Source organism: Homo sapiens, chromosome 1 (genome assembly GCF_000001405.40).
Source record: "Homo sapiens chromosome 1, GRCh38.p14 Primary Assembly".
Classification (NCBI taxonomy): Eukaryota; Metazoa; Chordata; class Mammalia; order Primates; family Hominidae; genus Homo; species Homo sapiens.
This window is the reverse complement of record NC_000001.11, coordinates 85120435-85135977: the sequence shown is the minus strand read 5'-3', so window position 1 is coordinate 85135977 and position 15543 is coordinate 85120435. Positions and strand designations below refer to the sequence as shown.

The 15543-nt window shown below is 40.6% G+C and overlaps 1 protein-coding gene and 1 non-coding gene across 4 annotated transcripts in view; both read right to left on the bottom strand.

Annotated features, from left to right (window-relative positions):
- Positions 1-2104: 2104 nt before the first annotated feature.
- On the bottom strand, positions 2105-2184 carry MIR4423 (microRNA 4423). The gene has a single exon (NR_039619.1). It is a non-coding gene; the product is annotated as a microRNA 4423 (primary transcript).
- A 655-nt stretch (positions 2185-2839) lies between these two features.
- Positions 2840-15543, bottom strand: part of DNAI3 (dynein axonemal intermediate chain 3) — a 70812-nt gene continuing 58108 nt past the window's right edge. For 2 of the 3 annotated variants that reach the window (NM_145172.5, NM_001288563.2), the window contains 6 exons: positions 14164-14227; positions 11727-11857; positions 9263-9467; positions 7179-7270; positions 5866-5988; positions 2840-3123 (listed from right to left, as the gene is read on the bottom strand). In NM_145172.5, coding sequence (NP_660155.2) covers positions 2980-3123; positions 5866-5988; positions 7179-7270; positions 9263-9467; positions 11727-11857; positions 14164-14227 — 759 coding nt within the window. In that variant the 3' untranslated portion in view covers positions 2840-2979. Of the gene's footprint in view, positions 3124-5865; positions 5989-7178; positions 7271-9262; positions 9468-11726; positions 11858-13246; positions 13429-14163; positions 14228-15543 lie in introns of those variants that run through there. The other variant, XM_047444741.1, reaches the window with a different exon arrangement.

Below are 15543 nucleotides of genomic sequence, written 5' to 3'. Positions count from 1 at the left end.
AGTGAGCCAACAACGAGCCACTGCACTCCAGCCTGGGCAACAGAGTGAGACTCTATCTCAAAAAAAAAAAAAAAAAAGAAAAAAGAAAAAGAATAAAGACAAAAATCACACTGAACTAATAATAACTGCTATCATAACCATAAGGAGCCCCATGTTTAGTTTCTATAGCAAGAATGTTACAACCATTTTGTATTTGTAAATCAGGCAAAACATATTTACTGCTTGCCGTATGCTAGCCACTATACTAAGCTTTATATTTGCTAACCCTAAGGCAGACACTTATTCAATATCCATTACTCCAGTCCTTTATGCTAACAACACCCTGCTTTTATTTGAGACAACAATGTGCTCAGCCTCCAGTCATGGTTTATGACACTCAGTTATGACACACCTGTTCTCTGTAGTCCCAGCTTCTTTTCATTGAAGAGAGGGAGACTGGGTTATGGAACACACTTCTAGAAGACTACAGGTGAAACCCCTCACCTCTTTCAGGCCTTGTTCAAGTGTCACCTTCCCTGACCATCCTGTTTAAAATGGTAGACCCTGGCACATAGAAGGCATTCAATATATTTTTTTAAAGTCAGGTGTGGTGGTATGTGTCTGTAGTCCTAGCTACTCAGGAGCCTGAGGCAAGAGGATTGCTTAAGCCCAACAGCTTGAGGCTGCAGTGAGCTATGATTGCATCACTGCACTCCAGCCTGTGCAACTGAGTGAGGCCCTGTCTTTAAAAACAAACAAACCATTTTTTAGAGTGAACTCGTGAAAATAAAATTAGAAAAATCTCTGGAGAAAGTACTGAACAGCAAGCACAGATGCCCAGGGAGAGGAAGATGCCTGGCATGTTTGGTGAACAGGAGGCCAGCATGACTGGGATGGGTGTGATGGAGGGGAGAGGAAGGAGGGATGGGACCAGGTGACAGTGGAAGGCCTGCCTGTACAAGGGCTTGCAGGGCACAGACAGGCATTGGGAACATACTCTGAGTGATCATACTATGAGGTTGAGGAAGGATTCTGGGCAGAAGGATGACAGCATCTGACAGCATCCATTTAAAACTACCATCTGGCTGTGGCTGAAAGTGACTGAAAATGACAACATAGAAACAGGGAGAACAGGAGGCTGCTGCAAAATCCAAGCTGATGATGATGCAGCTTGGACCATGGTGGTAGCAGTGAGGGAGAAGAGAAGCGATCAGGTTTCACATGCATACTGAACGTGTAGTCAACAGGACTTGCTGACAGATTGGATGTGGATTGTGAAAGAAAGGAGATGAAGGATGACCTTAAGGCTTTTGCCCCAAGCAGCATCATGGCTGGGAGGACTGCTGGAGGAATGGTTTTTGAAGGGAAACATCAAGCACTCAATTTTGGACATGTTTAAGTTTGAGATGCCTATTAAACATCCAAGTGGAGATACAAAAGGTCAAATAGATACACATCTCTTGATTTTAGAGAGAAGGCCAGGTCAGGGACAGAGGTAGTATCTAAAGCCTTGAGAGTGGATGCATGCACCTAGAAAGTGAGTGCAGAAAAAAGAAAGAATAAAAGAAGTTCAAGTGTAAGGATGAGCCCTGGGATATTTCAATCATGATGACAATAATATGTGCCAGGCACAGGCCCCTTATCTGCAGGGGCTCATTTGCCCCTTACATAAATGCTGCAAGTTAAGTTCTCTCAACCTGACTTGATGGAAGGGGAATCTGTTTCACAGAGCTGGGTCATCTGTTCAAGGGCACACAGGTGGTTAAGAGCTAAAATCTATCCGACAAAGTTTTCTTTCCTCTAGCAATCTAACTTATAAACCTTGGTATTATCCTTTGTCTTCCCTTCCCCATCCAACCAGCCTTTGATTTCTATCTTCACATTAAGCTTTAGTACAGGGCATCCTAATCCTTTGCCCTGAACAATTCCTCCTGCCTCCTAATAGGATTTCTTGCCATGAGACTCTCCCCTGCTCTAGTTCATTCCTTGTTTCCTAAAAATAAAGCTGATTGGGTCAACTTCCTGTTTAGACCTTCCATTCATTCCCCATAAATTCTAATCCAGCTCCTTAGCTTGGTAAACAGGAGCCTTCACAATCTGGCTCCAAGCTCTTTTGTGTCTCAGTTTCACATACTGTTGTTGCTTTTTGGTGCCTATGCTAGGCTTAAACAGCATGGGAACAAAAAGGCAACTGCAGTACATGATGTCAGGCACCTGATGGTGTGAGCTGTGTCTTGTTCCACATCTCAGGGGAAAGCTTTCTGCTTGTCACCATGAAGTACCATGTTTGGTGTAGTATTGTTTTACACGCCCTTCATCACATTACAGGAATTCTTTCTGTAGATGCCAAGAATGTATCATTATTATCATGAATTGATGTCAACTTTTATGAAATGTTTTTCTGCATCGACTTGGCATCATAATTTCTCTCTTTTGATTAATCACTGATTTATTTTCTACTCTTAAATTAACCTTATCTTCCTTGGATAAACCCAACTTTGTCTTCATGTGTTAACCTCTTTAAAATATATATATATATATATTTCTGGATTTGATTTGCTAATATTTTGTTTAGCACATGGCCCTACAGTTTGTACAGTGGCCAAGGGGAAGCACTTTTTTTGGAAAGGTGGCCAAAAGCAAGCTGATAAGTAGGAGCAGTTTGATTTCCCCTTCTGCCTGGAATGAGGGCCTCTGTGTGGACAGCAAGGATTGGGATGGAAGGGACATCCAAAGTTCTCTATTATTATAGGAAAATACAAATTTTGTTATTGAAAACATTCATTAAAAAAGAACACTTTCATATTCAGTACAAAATTTGGTACATACATGGTACAAAAACTGAAATAGATCTCATTGCTAAAATTCAAAAGTTTTAATAGCAGGGAAATAAAAGTCTATAAATGAGCCTATATATATATATGTTCAGCATGCCAGTTCACCTGACATAAAAATAAATAGAGGGAAGAAGTCCCCAAAACACCCCTTCAGGAAGCTTTTTTACATCACCTCCATGTATGACCCCTTCTCTGTGACTTTGATTAGGCCAAGGTTGATAAGAACAGTCTTTTCCAGTTCCAGATAACTCTCATAGTCCATTTTTAATTCAGCCTGCATTTGTTCTTTTGACTTCTGATATGTTTTCTGGGGGGGGAAGAAAAACAAGACATCCCTATAAAACACTGATATCTAAAAATACCAAAGGATGAGAAGGGGCTGTTTGTGAATAGTTGACCTGGCTGCTGTTTTCTGGAAAGGGCTGGATGGAGGGCAGGAAGGCAGGAGGGCAGGTGGGCAGGAGGCAGTCAGATGTGCTGGGAAAGGAGGGAGTGGGGGGAAACATGGTCCCCAACCACTGTCTCTCAAAAAAAAGTCCCTTTTTCCGGCCTTCTTCCCTATAACTCTTGTTTCCCTTATGTAGACTGGAGGGTGACTAATAGCCTAGAGGTTGCAGAATTCTTTTGAAATCCCCCTCTTCTGAGTCCATATGGATGGCATAGCTTGTGGATCACACGGCAATGACTACTGTCCCAGGCTGAGTCTCCAGCTGAAATTCTGGTTAGGAAAATTCCCATTTCATATGCAACTAGAGCAGTGATTATTATTGTCCATTGAGGAGTGAGCTGTTTCCAGATTTTATGTTTGCAAAGAGACAGGTGCATGATTTTCCTGAAATCTGTGTTGAACTGTACAGCCTCAACCTGGCACCTGGTGAGCACTCACACAGGCCAGCCTTGCTGGACGAACATGTGAACACTTTCTATGTGCCAGTTATTGGCTAAGTGCTGTAAATATTTTAACTCATTTAAGCTCCATTGCAATCTTCTGAGGTTGTTACTGTTGCCATTTCCCCCTTTATCAGCCGTTGCTTAGAAGGAGACATTTCTGACTAACATTAGTTGTTTTTCCTTAGTGACTTTTTTTATGTTCTCAATGTAACAGAGGAACCCTTTCAAATTCATTCACATACCCACAATCTATTCATAGTTGCAGAGAAAATTTGAGAAGTGGTGGCTTTACTTAAAAGAGGGCACCATATCAAATGGAAATAAAGTTACAAGAAGTTGGGAACGTTTTGGAAATTGAAAAGTATAATACAATTTAAGATATTATTATTATAATATTCAGGTGTTTAAAAAGTATTTCACATGCAAATTATTTTTGGATTATCCACAATTCTACTCGCTCCCACTGATGTAGATAATTAGGAGCTGTTGCTATGGTATTTAAACACTCATAATAATCGTGGATAATTGCTGGGGAAGGGGAAGGGTGGCAGATTCTCTCCCACAATAGAATCTCAACAAATCAACATTTGTTAAGTGCAAAAGAACAAAACTAAGATCAATTTGTTTGTAGCAGTGGAATGCAATGAAAGTTTAATTAATTGGCATTCTTTTACACTTTGTCACCAAACATGTTTTGAAATGAGATCCTCTGCTTTTATTGCACTAATTAGTATTTATCAATGAGTGATAATGTTAATTTATTTGCTAATGCAGCACATTACAATATTTCCACATGCTAATGCTTTATTTTTTTTTTTTTTTTTTTGAGATGGAGTTTCGCTCTTGTTGCCCAGGATGGAGTGCAATGGCACAATCTCGGCTCACCATAACCTCCGCCTCCCAGGTTCAAGTGATTCTCCTGCCTCAGCCTCCCGAGTAGCTGGGATTACAGGTATGTGCCACCATGCCCGGCTTATTTTGTATTTTTAGTAGAGACAGGGTTTCTCCATGTGGGTCAAGCTGGTCTCGAACTCCTGACCTCGTGATCTGCCTGCCTCAGCCTCTCAAAGTGCTGGGATTACAGGTGTGAGCCACGGCGCCCAGTGCCACATGCTAATGCTTTTGAGACTGAAGGCCTCATGTGAGTAACTGTGTTTGAGGATGTATGTATTTGGCTATACGGAACCTACAGATGAGATCAATGATGAAATGCTGGTAACAAAAGAGCAAAGGAGAGAGGGAGCAAGAGGGAAACAGAAATTGAGACTGAGGTGATCTCAAGTGAGAAAGAGAGAAAAGCCTAATTCACAAAGTATTTAGAAGCCCAAAATTCCAGTGGGCAAGGGAAGACCAGCAGAGTCACAGAATTCGTATCAAACAGGGAGAAGCTGAGAAAGGGAGCATGGGGTGCTTTAGAGCTTAGGTTCTTTTTTGGCAGAGTTTAAGATGGATGTGCCCTGTACCAAATTCTCCTCTATTTCAAGTTTCATATCTTCAGCATATCATATACAGTAAAATTCACCTCTTTCTCTCTACCCCCTCATATCTATTTATCTATCTATCTATCTATCTATCTATCTATCTATCTATCTATCTATCTATCATCTATCTAATCTATCATCTATCATTATAATTATAATAGCACTATTTACTGAAAGTCTATTTGTCACTTTCTTTAACTGACAGCCTTACAGTAATCCTAGTTATTAGTATTCCCATTTTCAAGATAAGAGACCTGAAGCTCAGCAAAGGTGACAGCCTTGCTCCAAATCTCACAGCTAGTCAGTGGCAGAGTTGGGATTTGAGCCCACGTGTCTTGATTCCATATTCAACTCTTTTTGCACCACCTTCTTTAATGCATTATTCACCAGATATTAAAATTCTATAATGAAAGCATTCAAATTTTGAATTAAGGTATCTGTACTAAAGGACTTTGAAATTATAGAAAATTTCAGAAACTTAAATTGGACAGAATCTCACTACGTGTCTAACTGGCAGTGAGCTAGGAAATCAAAGGAATGCCCTCTTGACTCTCATGAGAACAAGAGAAGAATGTGAAAAAGTATAACTTTTCTATGGAAACTGTGGATTAAGCCAAACAAATATATTTCCACTGGTGTTCGAGGAAAACATCTTTCATTTCTGAAATTTAACTTACAACTTTTTTCTTTGCCATTTCTAGTTCCATTTCTTTCTTTTCTTGCTCACGAATTTTTTTGCGCTGTTCTACGTATTCCAGATGCTTGACTTCTCTTTCAAAATAGTGGTTGACACTTGCCATCTGTTAGAAACAGAAGTCCATGAGAGGGTGACAGGCAGGAAGCCCCCATGACCTTTACAAGGCTCTGTTAGAATTTCTGCTGCTTGTAATTAGGTAGACGACCTACCTAATCTACCTCCCTAATCTACTTGATCATTATCTAATGATCATCTACCTAATCATTATGTAGATTATCTATTTTGTGATACTTTAAATCTTTTAGGTGAATATAATTTGGAAATTGTATTCACAGGCCCACTACCAGAGGAGCTGGTACAATTCAGGGGCTACTGTGCTAACATTTAGGGCTCTGTGACTTGGAGGTTTCCAAAGTAGGGTTGGAAGGAGAGAGCTGCAAAAATGTGCAATTTTGTAGTAGAAATATTCAGGGGTTGCTTTTTCCCCATTTCTTCCTTCTTCCTTCTAAATCTGGGGGAAGTTTCATATCATCAATCAAACTTAGAAAACCCAGATGAGAGTATCAATGTAGATCCTAGAGGGACTGGAAGCAGAGCTGAATTCCTGGTCCCTGGAGGGCTTCGAGTGTAGGCATAGAATAGAAGCAGGAAAGTCAGCAGAGACCTTGGGGAAGGCAACCAGGGCAGAGACAGCCTTTTGCCTGCCAGTAACTAGGCTGATGTTTGGACTTGCAGCAGACTGCAATCTATATGTTTAATGTTCATTGTATATACATTTATATATTTCTATTCATTGATCTTTTTAAAGCCTCATTATTAACATTGTTTGAAACACTTGGGTGGTGGGTACAGTGTGGGGGGTGCAGAATACCGCCAGTTCAGCTGTGCTGCCTGCTATACTCCAAGTTGGGTTGGGAGCCGGAGGGGGTGGGTGATGGAGAGATGCATGAACATGTCAACTGGGCCCTCAGGGAAGGGTATCACTGAAATCAGCACCCCACACTTCGGTTACAATGGGAAAAATGACATTTTCTGATTATGAATCCCCAAGTCATTATTCTCTCAGAATCTGGACTTCATTGACTTGGTTTCCCTCCCATGTCATGTTTGGGGCTTTTTTTTAAAGCTTCAAACTATTTAACTCATACAACAGAAATACATCCTCTTATTTACTGTATGAGTCTTTTGTTCCCTTACAGAGCAAAAATGCTGTCATTTCTAACATTTTTTTAAAGACATATCTCAGCAATATCTGGTCACATTAATTCTCAAAGTCATAAGTTAGTTACTAACCTCATTGGTGGAAGGGCGACTTAATGTCCAAGGAATTTCTAATATATGCAGTGTTCCATAATAATCAGCTGTGGCTATAAATTGCTGTTTAGCTGAAAATTTTAAAATAAATGGGAGGAAAAAATCAGCAAACAGAAAACCATCTTAAGCAGTTAAACATGAAGTATGTTTTTGTTTTGTGTTCTCCCAAAGGACCTGCTGTGGTTCCAGTGATCTTGGCATTTTCATCAGATGTTCATGGCTGGACCATGTAAACATGTACAAGTCATTTTTTCCAGCTGATGAAATGAAAGCTAAGACTGAGCCTTTGTCGGTTCCCCTGCTGCCTCAAAACTTGTATTTCTGGTGACTGTATAAGGAATGTGGCTCCTGGCTGAAGTTGACTCTCTCTGTGGCTGGGCCCACTGGGCATACTTGAGAAGAAAGCAAGGAGAACACATGGAAAGATTTTCAAAGAAAAGTTATGAAGTTCATTTTCACTGAACACAGAAAGGGCTAAAGGGTACCATCATCCAGAAGAATTTCAAAGATGTAGCCAGAATCACAGGTCTTATTGTAAAAACAAGTAGCTGCCTTTGAACATTTAAAATGGGTATAATATGCAAAGTATTTGAGATTTTTAATCTTTTTCTTCTCCTTCTTCTTCTTCTTTTTTTTTTTTTTTTTTTTTTTTTGAGACAGGGTCTCCCCGCTGTGGCCCAGGCTAGAATGCAGTGGTATGATCATGGCTCACTGCAGCCTCAACCTCCCAGGCTGAATCAATCATCCCACCTCAGCTTCCTGAGTAGCTGGGACTACAGGCACATAGCACCATGCCCGGCTAATTTTTGTTTTGTATTTTTTGTAGAGACAGGGTCTTGGCCATGTTGCTCAGGTTGGCCTTGAACTCCTGGACTCAAGTGATCTCCCCACCTCACTCAGCCTCCCAAAGTGCTGGGATTAGAGGTGTAAGCCACCATGCCCGGCCTGAGAATTGTAATTTTCTATCTCACTGTGTGTGTGTTCTTTTCCTTTTTAGTAGGTCTGCTTCAAATTGCAAAATCCTGGATTCATAATCCCTGTAGGCGTACAAAGCAATGTTTTACACCAAAGTGGGAAAAGATACTTGGGTGGCACATATGGCTAAGCAGTAGTCTGACTGTGACACTCAAGATGCTGAAGACTGAGTTTCCAAATCTAATGTTTCTGAGAAATGGATAGAAAGAGAATTTCATGCTGTACACCTTTGGAAACAAAGGGAAACTTCTTCTTTTAAAAAAGGCAGGTGGGTTACAGTGGTTCACCCCTATAATCCCAGAACTTTGGGAGGCTGAAGCAGGAGGATTGATCACACCACTGCACTTCAGCCTGGGCAACAGAGCAAGACGTCACTGCAAAAAAATAAAATAAAAAAAGGCAAACATACTGGATTTACATAGAAATTACTACTTGGGCGAAACAGAAAAAAAATGGAGACAAAGGACATACATCATGTTTCTATAGACACATCATTGAATTTATGCTTGTTTTGTTATATAGTAGTTTTTCCTCATAGTTGGTTCAAAGGTTAAAGCTTAAATACATATATAACTCCAGATAATCATTTTATCTTATGAAGAGAATTGCTTGATATTAGCCAGGGGAGAACCACAAAAGTGATATAATATTTAAAAATATGATTTGTAATGAAAATTAAAGAAACAAAATTTATTCTATCTGGGAAAAAAAATCAGCAAAAGATAACAAAGATCCGGGTCATCCTGTCTGACCCGGAGAAGAGAAGGATGTTCCCATCGTGCAGTTCAAAACCAGCCTCTGCCTGACACGTGTCTCAGAAATCATTCTTGATGAGGCAACAGTGAGAAGAGCTCAGGTTGTGTCCAAAGTTTGAGACCAAGAGAGAAGGAAAAGGAAGAGGAAAGATGGGAAGGAAAGGGAAGAGAGAAGAATGAAAAGGAAAGGAAGAGAAGGGAAGGGATAAGAAGGGATGAGCAGGAAGAAAAACAAAAAACTAAGAAATAAACATTGGAGGCTTTTCAGATGAATGTCAAGATGTTCCCGAGTTACCCAAAATGACTTAGCTTATTTAGTTAGAATTAACATACAAGAAAAGATCCAGGGTTTGATGTAGGTGATCATAGTTATGCAAATGTTTTGAGACTGGGCTGGTTCATGGGTTTTCTCCAGAAGGTCCCAGATATCAATGTATCCATCTTCTCGGCCGATGTAGAAAACTCCGGGCCGAGTCAGGGACCAGTGGCCTGAGGTGTACCTTTTTGGTGCACAGCATGACTGAAGGAGCGGTCCAGTCTTTAAACAAATTTTTAAAAAGACAAATAAAGAAGATTTTGTTATTATCTGAGGGAAATTCACCATGCTGTTCATTAAGTACAACTCAAGCTAGCTATGATCATATAACAACAAAATTATGCCCACAGGAAGTCTTACTTCTCTTTGTTGTAGGGTTTTTATATAACACCAGCTTTTCTTTCTTGTTTTCATAAGCCATTTTTAGTTGCTTTTCAGAAAATATTAAACATTCCAATTAAGTTGTTGAAGTTTCTAATAATCCAACTTCTAAACCCACTACTGCTTCTAACCTTACGACTATTTCTGTGGAAATTGGTGGACATTAGACAAGTAAAGATTATAAGGACATTCTGCTTATGCCTTTATTTTGCTATCAGATATCTGCTTCCCATGGAAACAGCTCAGTAAACAGTAGAGAGTAAAACAAATGAAAAGTCTGCCAGTTCCAGCTGTGTACTGCATGTTGAAAATCAACATCAGAATTGGCAAATTCTCATATAAAGTGACTTCAGCTGGAAGCAGTTGATCACCTATAAATACACTAGGAAGAGATTTTAGACCATCAAAGCATCATGCAATCATCTTCTCTTTTCTCTACCATGGGGTAGTCTGCCTTCTTTGGGAGGTTTTCAAAAGTAAGAATAGAATGTGCTTTCTACCCACTTCAGGCTTCATCTACTGACCAGGGGTGCTCCTTCGCCTACTTACATCTGCAGGGACTAAACTAAATCATGGAGCTGTCTCCCACCCTCCAATATATGCATAAGAGATTTTCCTGTGAAGAAAGCATGTCGCAGATTCATGGACTCTGTGGAGGTGACATTTCAAACTTGTTCTCCTTGTCTACTTCTCCCAGCACCTTGAGTTTCTATAACCAAATTCCTGACCCTGGCATAGTCTTTGGACAATCATGCCTGAATTTCCTTTTTCTTTTTCTTTAACTACAAAACTTGCTAATTGTAAAAAAAAAAAAAATCAAACATACAGAAGTACATTGGCATAAAGCAGAGTTCTTTGTTGATGACCATTTAAGTAGTTTCTAAATTATTTTCAATGATAAATATACAGTTTTTGAGTATTTGTATATGTTAGAGTTTCAGAAGTGGAACTGTTAGGTTAAATATATATACATTTATATATGTATATATGTATACCAACTTTGAAATATATATATGTGTGTGTATATATATCCACATTATATGCCTATGTACATACACACATGTATTTCAAAGTTGGTATACACATATGCATATATACATATATATTATATGCATATACACATATATATATAGTTTCAGGCTTTGATAATCTCAAATTGCTCATCAAAGAGACATGTCAACTTACAATCCCACCAAAAGTACTGATTCCCCCACACCCTTGCTTCACTGGATTTTATCAATCATTCTAGTTTTTGGCAGTTTAGCTCCTATCTGCCTAGATCCAGCCCCTCTCCTAATCCTGACCACACTCTTGCTGCCTCCCTTTAACTACTGTATGTCCCTGGACAGGCAAGGGTCTGCCTGCTGACATACCCTCAGCTTATTCACTCCCACTTTCTGCACCTGCCAAGATATTCCTGGTGCAGAGGGAAAGATGACAAACCCAGTGTTTCTCCTTGCACTTCAATCAGAATTAGGCATCCCATCTTGTATTTCCAAGGGAGGAAAAATGCAAGTCAAGTTCAGGTGTGGTGTCACACCTGTAATCCCAGCACTTCGGGAGGCCGAGGCAGGTGAATCACTTGAGCCCAGAAGTTTGAGACCAGCCTGGGCAACATGGTGAAATCCCCATTTCTACAAAAAACACACACAAAAAAGCTGGGCTTGGTGGCGTACACCTGTCGTCCCAGCTACTCAGGAGGCTGAGATGGGAGAATCAACTGAGCCTGGGAAGTCGAGGCTGCAGTGAGCAGAGATCACGCCACTGCATTCCAGCCTGGACCACACAGTGAGACCTTGGCCCCCACCCCCAAAAAATGCCAGTGAAGTCAACTGCCCACAGTAGATATTCCAAGACTGTTAAGTTTCAGAGAACAAGGAACTTGTAAACTGTTTTCTCCCCTCAGGAAGGAAAAACAAATGAATGTGTTTTCAAAAGGATTACAGTGGTTCTGCTGACAAGCTGGTGTCCCTGCCATCTGTTCTAATTTCTCTAAAAAGTGTCCCAAAGGCACTATTATGTCAGAACATAACAGTTCCTCTTGTCTTTCTGAATAACAAAAGATCACACACTCATGCTTCCATTTTGCAGGCAACTTACCATAACACCTTCTTTCCATATGGCCACGTTCCAACCTCCAACCGTGAGAATAATGTCGTTGTAGAAAGGTGATCTCTGAATAGTGTGGACAGTTCCGTCGTGAATGGTGTGGTGGCTCACTGGCTTCTTTGCTATTGGAGTGAAAGAAGACCATCTCATCTTTAATAACACTGTTTGCATTCCTGCAGTGAGGAATGGACAGACCTCCAATGGACAGACAGGGCCCCATGAATGGGGTCGGGGAGTGGAGAACCAGAGGCTAGCTGGGATGAATAGATCTGTCAAGGGATGGCTCCTTCTGTTATTATGGAATGTCCAGGGAACATCCCATCAAGGCCATTTTTCAAGCTTAAATGAATACTTTGTGTTATTCATTTACTCATTCATTAATTCACTCAATTAGTCAATAAATATTTATAGATTGCCAATATGTAATAGCAGGTACTGTAGCTGGCTGGGTAGACAATGGTTAGTAAATAAACATGATTTTGCCCCCAAGGAGCTTACAGTCCAGTGGGAAAGATAGAATTTCAATAAACACATCCCAAAGTATACAATGTAAAAATTGTGAAAAGTGTTGTGAAGGAAAAAATATTACAAGTAAGAATAACAAGAGGATTTGTAATTTAGACTGAAGGGTCAGGAAAGGCTTCTGTGGAGATGCATCATGTAGGCCTGAATAGCAGCTCAACATGGGAAGATTTTGGTGTGAAGGAACATTCCAGACAGTGGAAACAACACACACCAAAGTCCTAAGGAGAGAAGTGTTTAGTGCTTTTACACACTTGAGGAAGGCACCCCCGACAGCAATCTGGTCATTTTAGAGTGAGACATGAAACAAATGGGGACTAGGAGGGTCTAGGCCATGCTGGGCCTTGTAAGAAAGGAGTTCAGATTACACTCTAAGTGTTGTGTGTTGTAATGAGTCCTTTAGGTCTCCAAGTGAGACAATTTGATTGACATTTCTGAAAGAGTCTCTGGCTGTTGTGGGGAGAATGGATTAGGGGAAGGTAAAAGCAGAGGAGGCTGCAGTGGCAGTTCTGGTGAGAGAGGATGGTGGCGTGGTCTAAGATGCAAGGGAGAAGAAGGGATAATCAAGAAATATTTGTGAGCTAGAATTGACAGGACTTGGAGACAACTTGAATAGGAAGACAGAGATGAAATGCTGAGAATGACAGCCAGGTTTCTGACAAGAGCCACAGTCCTTCCATTTGTTGCCAGTGGGAAGCCTTACAGGTTCTAATGCTAAGATCAAGAGTTCACTTTAGCCTCTGCCCCAGGTCCCAGGGTCTTCCTGCTTCTCTGGTCTCTTTACTCAGGTAACAGGAGGATTCTGCTTGGGTTTCCTCTCCCTGAGAGTTGGCTGCAGAACTGAATCCTCCTAATTTCTTGTTGCCCACAACCCTATGCCCCAGGCATGACCACAAAAACATATGGCTGTCAAGGCCACACCACAATGTCCAGCCACTTTATACTAATGTTTTCTGAATTTTATCATATTAATTGCTATGTTCTTAGAGGGCCCTGCTCCCCTGTCAGTCACTCACACTTCCACTCGCATGATTGACTAGATACCCTTCTGCAAAGAATCCAGCTGCTCTACCACACTGCTCCCTCATGGTGTTCTGAAGACTTCTTGCAAGCCTTTGTGGGCCTAGCAGTCCCAGGAGCTGCCTCTTCGTTTGCTTATGGTTATCCCAAACTGTGAAATGCATTAAAATATATTTTCACACTATGACAAAATTCAAAGGTTTAAAATGAGCAGTTATAATTGTAGTGAACCCCAAGGCTCTGAGCCTGCTAGAGATAGGGAGCTTTGCTTATTGGGGTGCCTGTATTCCTGACTGCAGTTCCTTCTCCCGCCTGGATGTGACCCACATGCTTCTGCTCAGCTTTCCAGAGGCCCAGGTCCTGGGAGCAGCAGACATAAAGACACGACCTGTCCTAGCCCCAAAGGAGGGTCCTGCAGTCCCTTTTCCCATACTCTGCTGGGGTCTTCTAGATTATCTTACATTTTGCTTATAATCTCACATTGACTCAGATTTTCCACATAGATGAACTACCAGGTTATTGAATTATTGAAACAGTATTTTATTTTTAAATTAAATCACTCAAGTTTCTCCGTCATTTAAGCAACATATAGGTCAGTGCTCCTCAAATTTTGGTGTGAAAACAAATACCCTGGAAAATGTTATTAAAATCCAGATTCCAATTCAGAAGGCCTGGCGTAGGATCTAAGATTTTTATGTGTATTTTCAGCAAGTTCCCAGGTGATGACTATGCTGCTTATTCAAGGCCTTCACTTTATTAGTCAGTACCTTAGGAGCCTTCCCTCCCATTAGCAAGACCAGGGTGACTCTGTACTGCATGAGATTCCTTTGGGTAGTTTAAATTAAAAGGAACATCTTATTAATAACAGGGCAATCACAAAACTTACACATAAGTCGGCCAGTTTCAGGGTCTTTTTCCATTTTCCAATCTGTGTATATCACTTCGCCTTCCTAAAAATATTACAGGTTCCTGATGAGTACAATGACAACTTAAGAGACAAAAGACTTCACACTCATGTGCTAAGATTGACTGTTAAGCAAAACAAATGCAAAACAACAAGTCAATTTAATCAAGTAATTTGATCCAGTGGGGGAGAGGGAAAGCCTCAAAATGAGTACTCAATTTTATATTGAAGAAACAATGAGTTTGTTGTGTTTTTATCCACATATAATGATGTGGAGAACATGATAGTTCTGCAGATACTCCATCTGGGACAATAGTCCCAACCGCTGGGCATCCAAAGTTTTTGTTGTTGATCCGTAAAGGGAGGGATCAGGCCATCTTATTCAGTGATTACTTTTCAGCCCATTAGAAAGTCAATTGTTAATAAATATTTGTGGAATAAGCAAGAATGAGGGACTATGAATGCATACATGGTAGTAATTACTACTTTTCAGGTTGAGAACAGGAAACATAAAGTTCAATCTAAATAAAATAGCAAGCGATATGTATTCTTATTCTGTCTTATGGCCGTTTTAAGGAGAGGGGAAGGCAAATGGACCTGATGTAAGAAGAGGAAGAAACAGTCATGCAAAGGGGAAAGACAGAGAGAACCGATGAATTACAGAGGTGGGAGAAGTTTACAGAAAATAATTAGTCCCTCGCTGTCATTGGATGGATGAGAAAACTGAGAGAGGTTAAATGACTTGCTCTAGATCACCCCATGCGATCTCCTAATTCCATTGTTTCTTCACTGGATGAGAAGAGAAAAACACAGGAGTTTGTATAAAATGGGGATGGATTGGGATCTGTAGCCAGGAAGGGGAGATAAGAGCACATTTGATTTATGCAAAGGGAAGGATAAACTCACTGGGGACAAGGTCACTCATTCACCCACCTGAGCTTTTATTCATCTGTGTTAATTCATTTAACAAACAAGGACTGTATTTGGTGCTGGAAATTCCAAATCCAAGGACAAGCCCTCTCTCTACTCACGATCCTCACAGTCTAAGGAAGCAGACAGATGGGTACATGTTTTGCTAATCTATGGCCATGTTGCACATCACCCTCACGGATACCACTTCTTGAGCACTCAGTCCTTGCCAGCGTTCTTAGGAGTTTTATGGATGTGACCCTTAGCCCTCACCAAAGTCCTGTAAGAGAGTTATTAATATCTCCTGGGTCTCATAGCCAGTACATGAAACAATGAAATTGAACCAAGTCAACGAGGACTAGTTGGAACCAATCTAATAAATGTGTGTTGAAGGCTCATCGTATCATCAGTCACCTAGCTGGAAACCTCTATACCCTTCTCTAGCCACTTCTG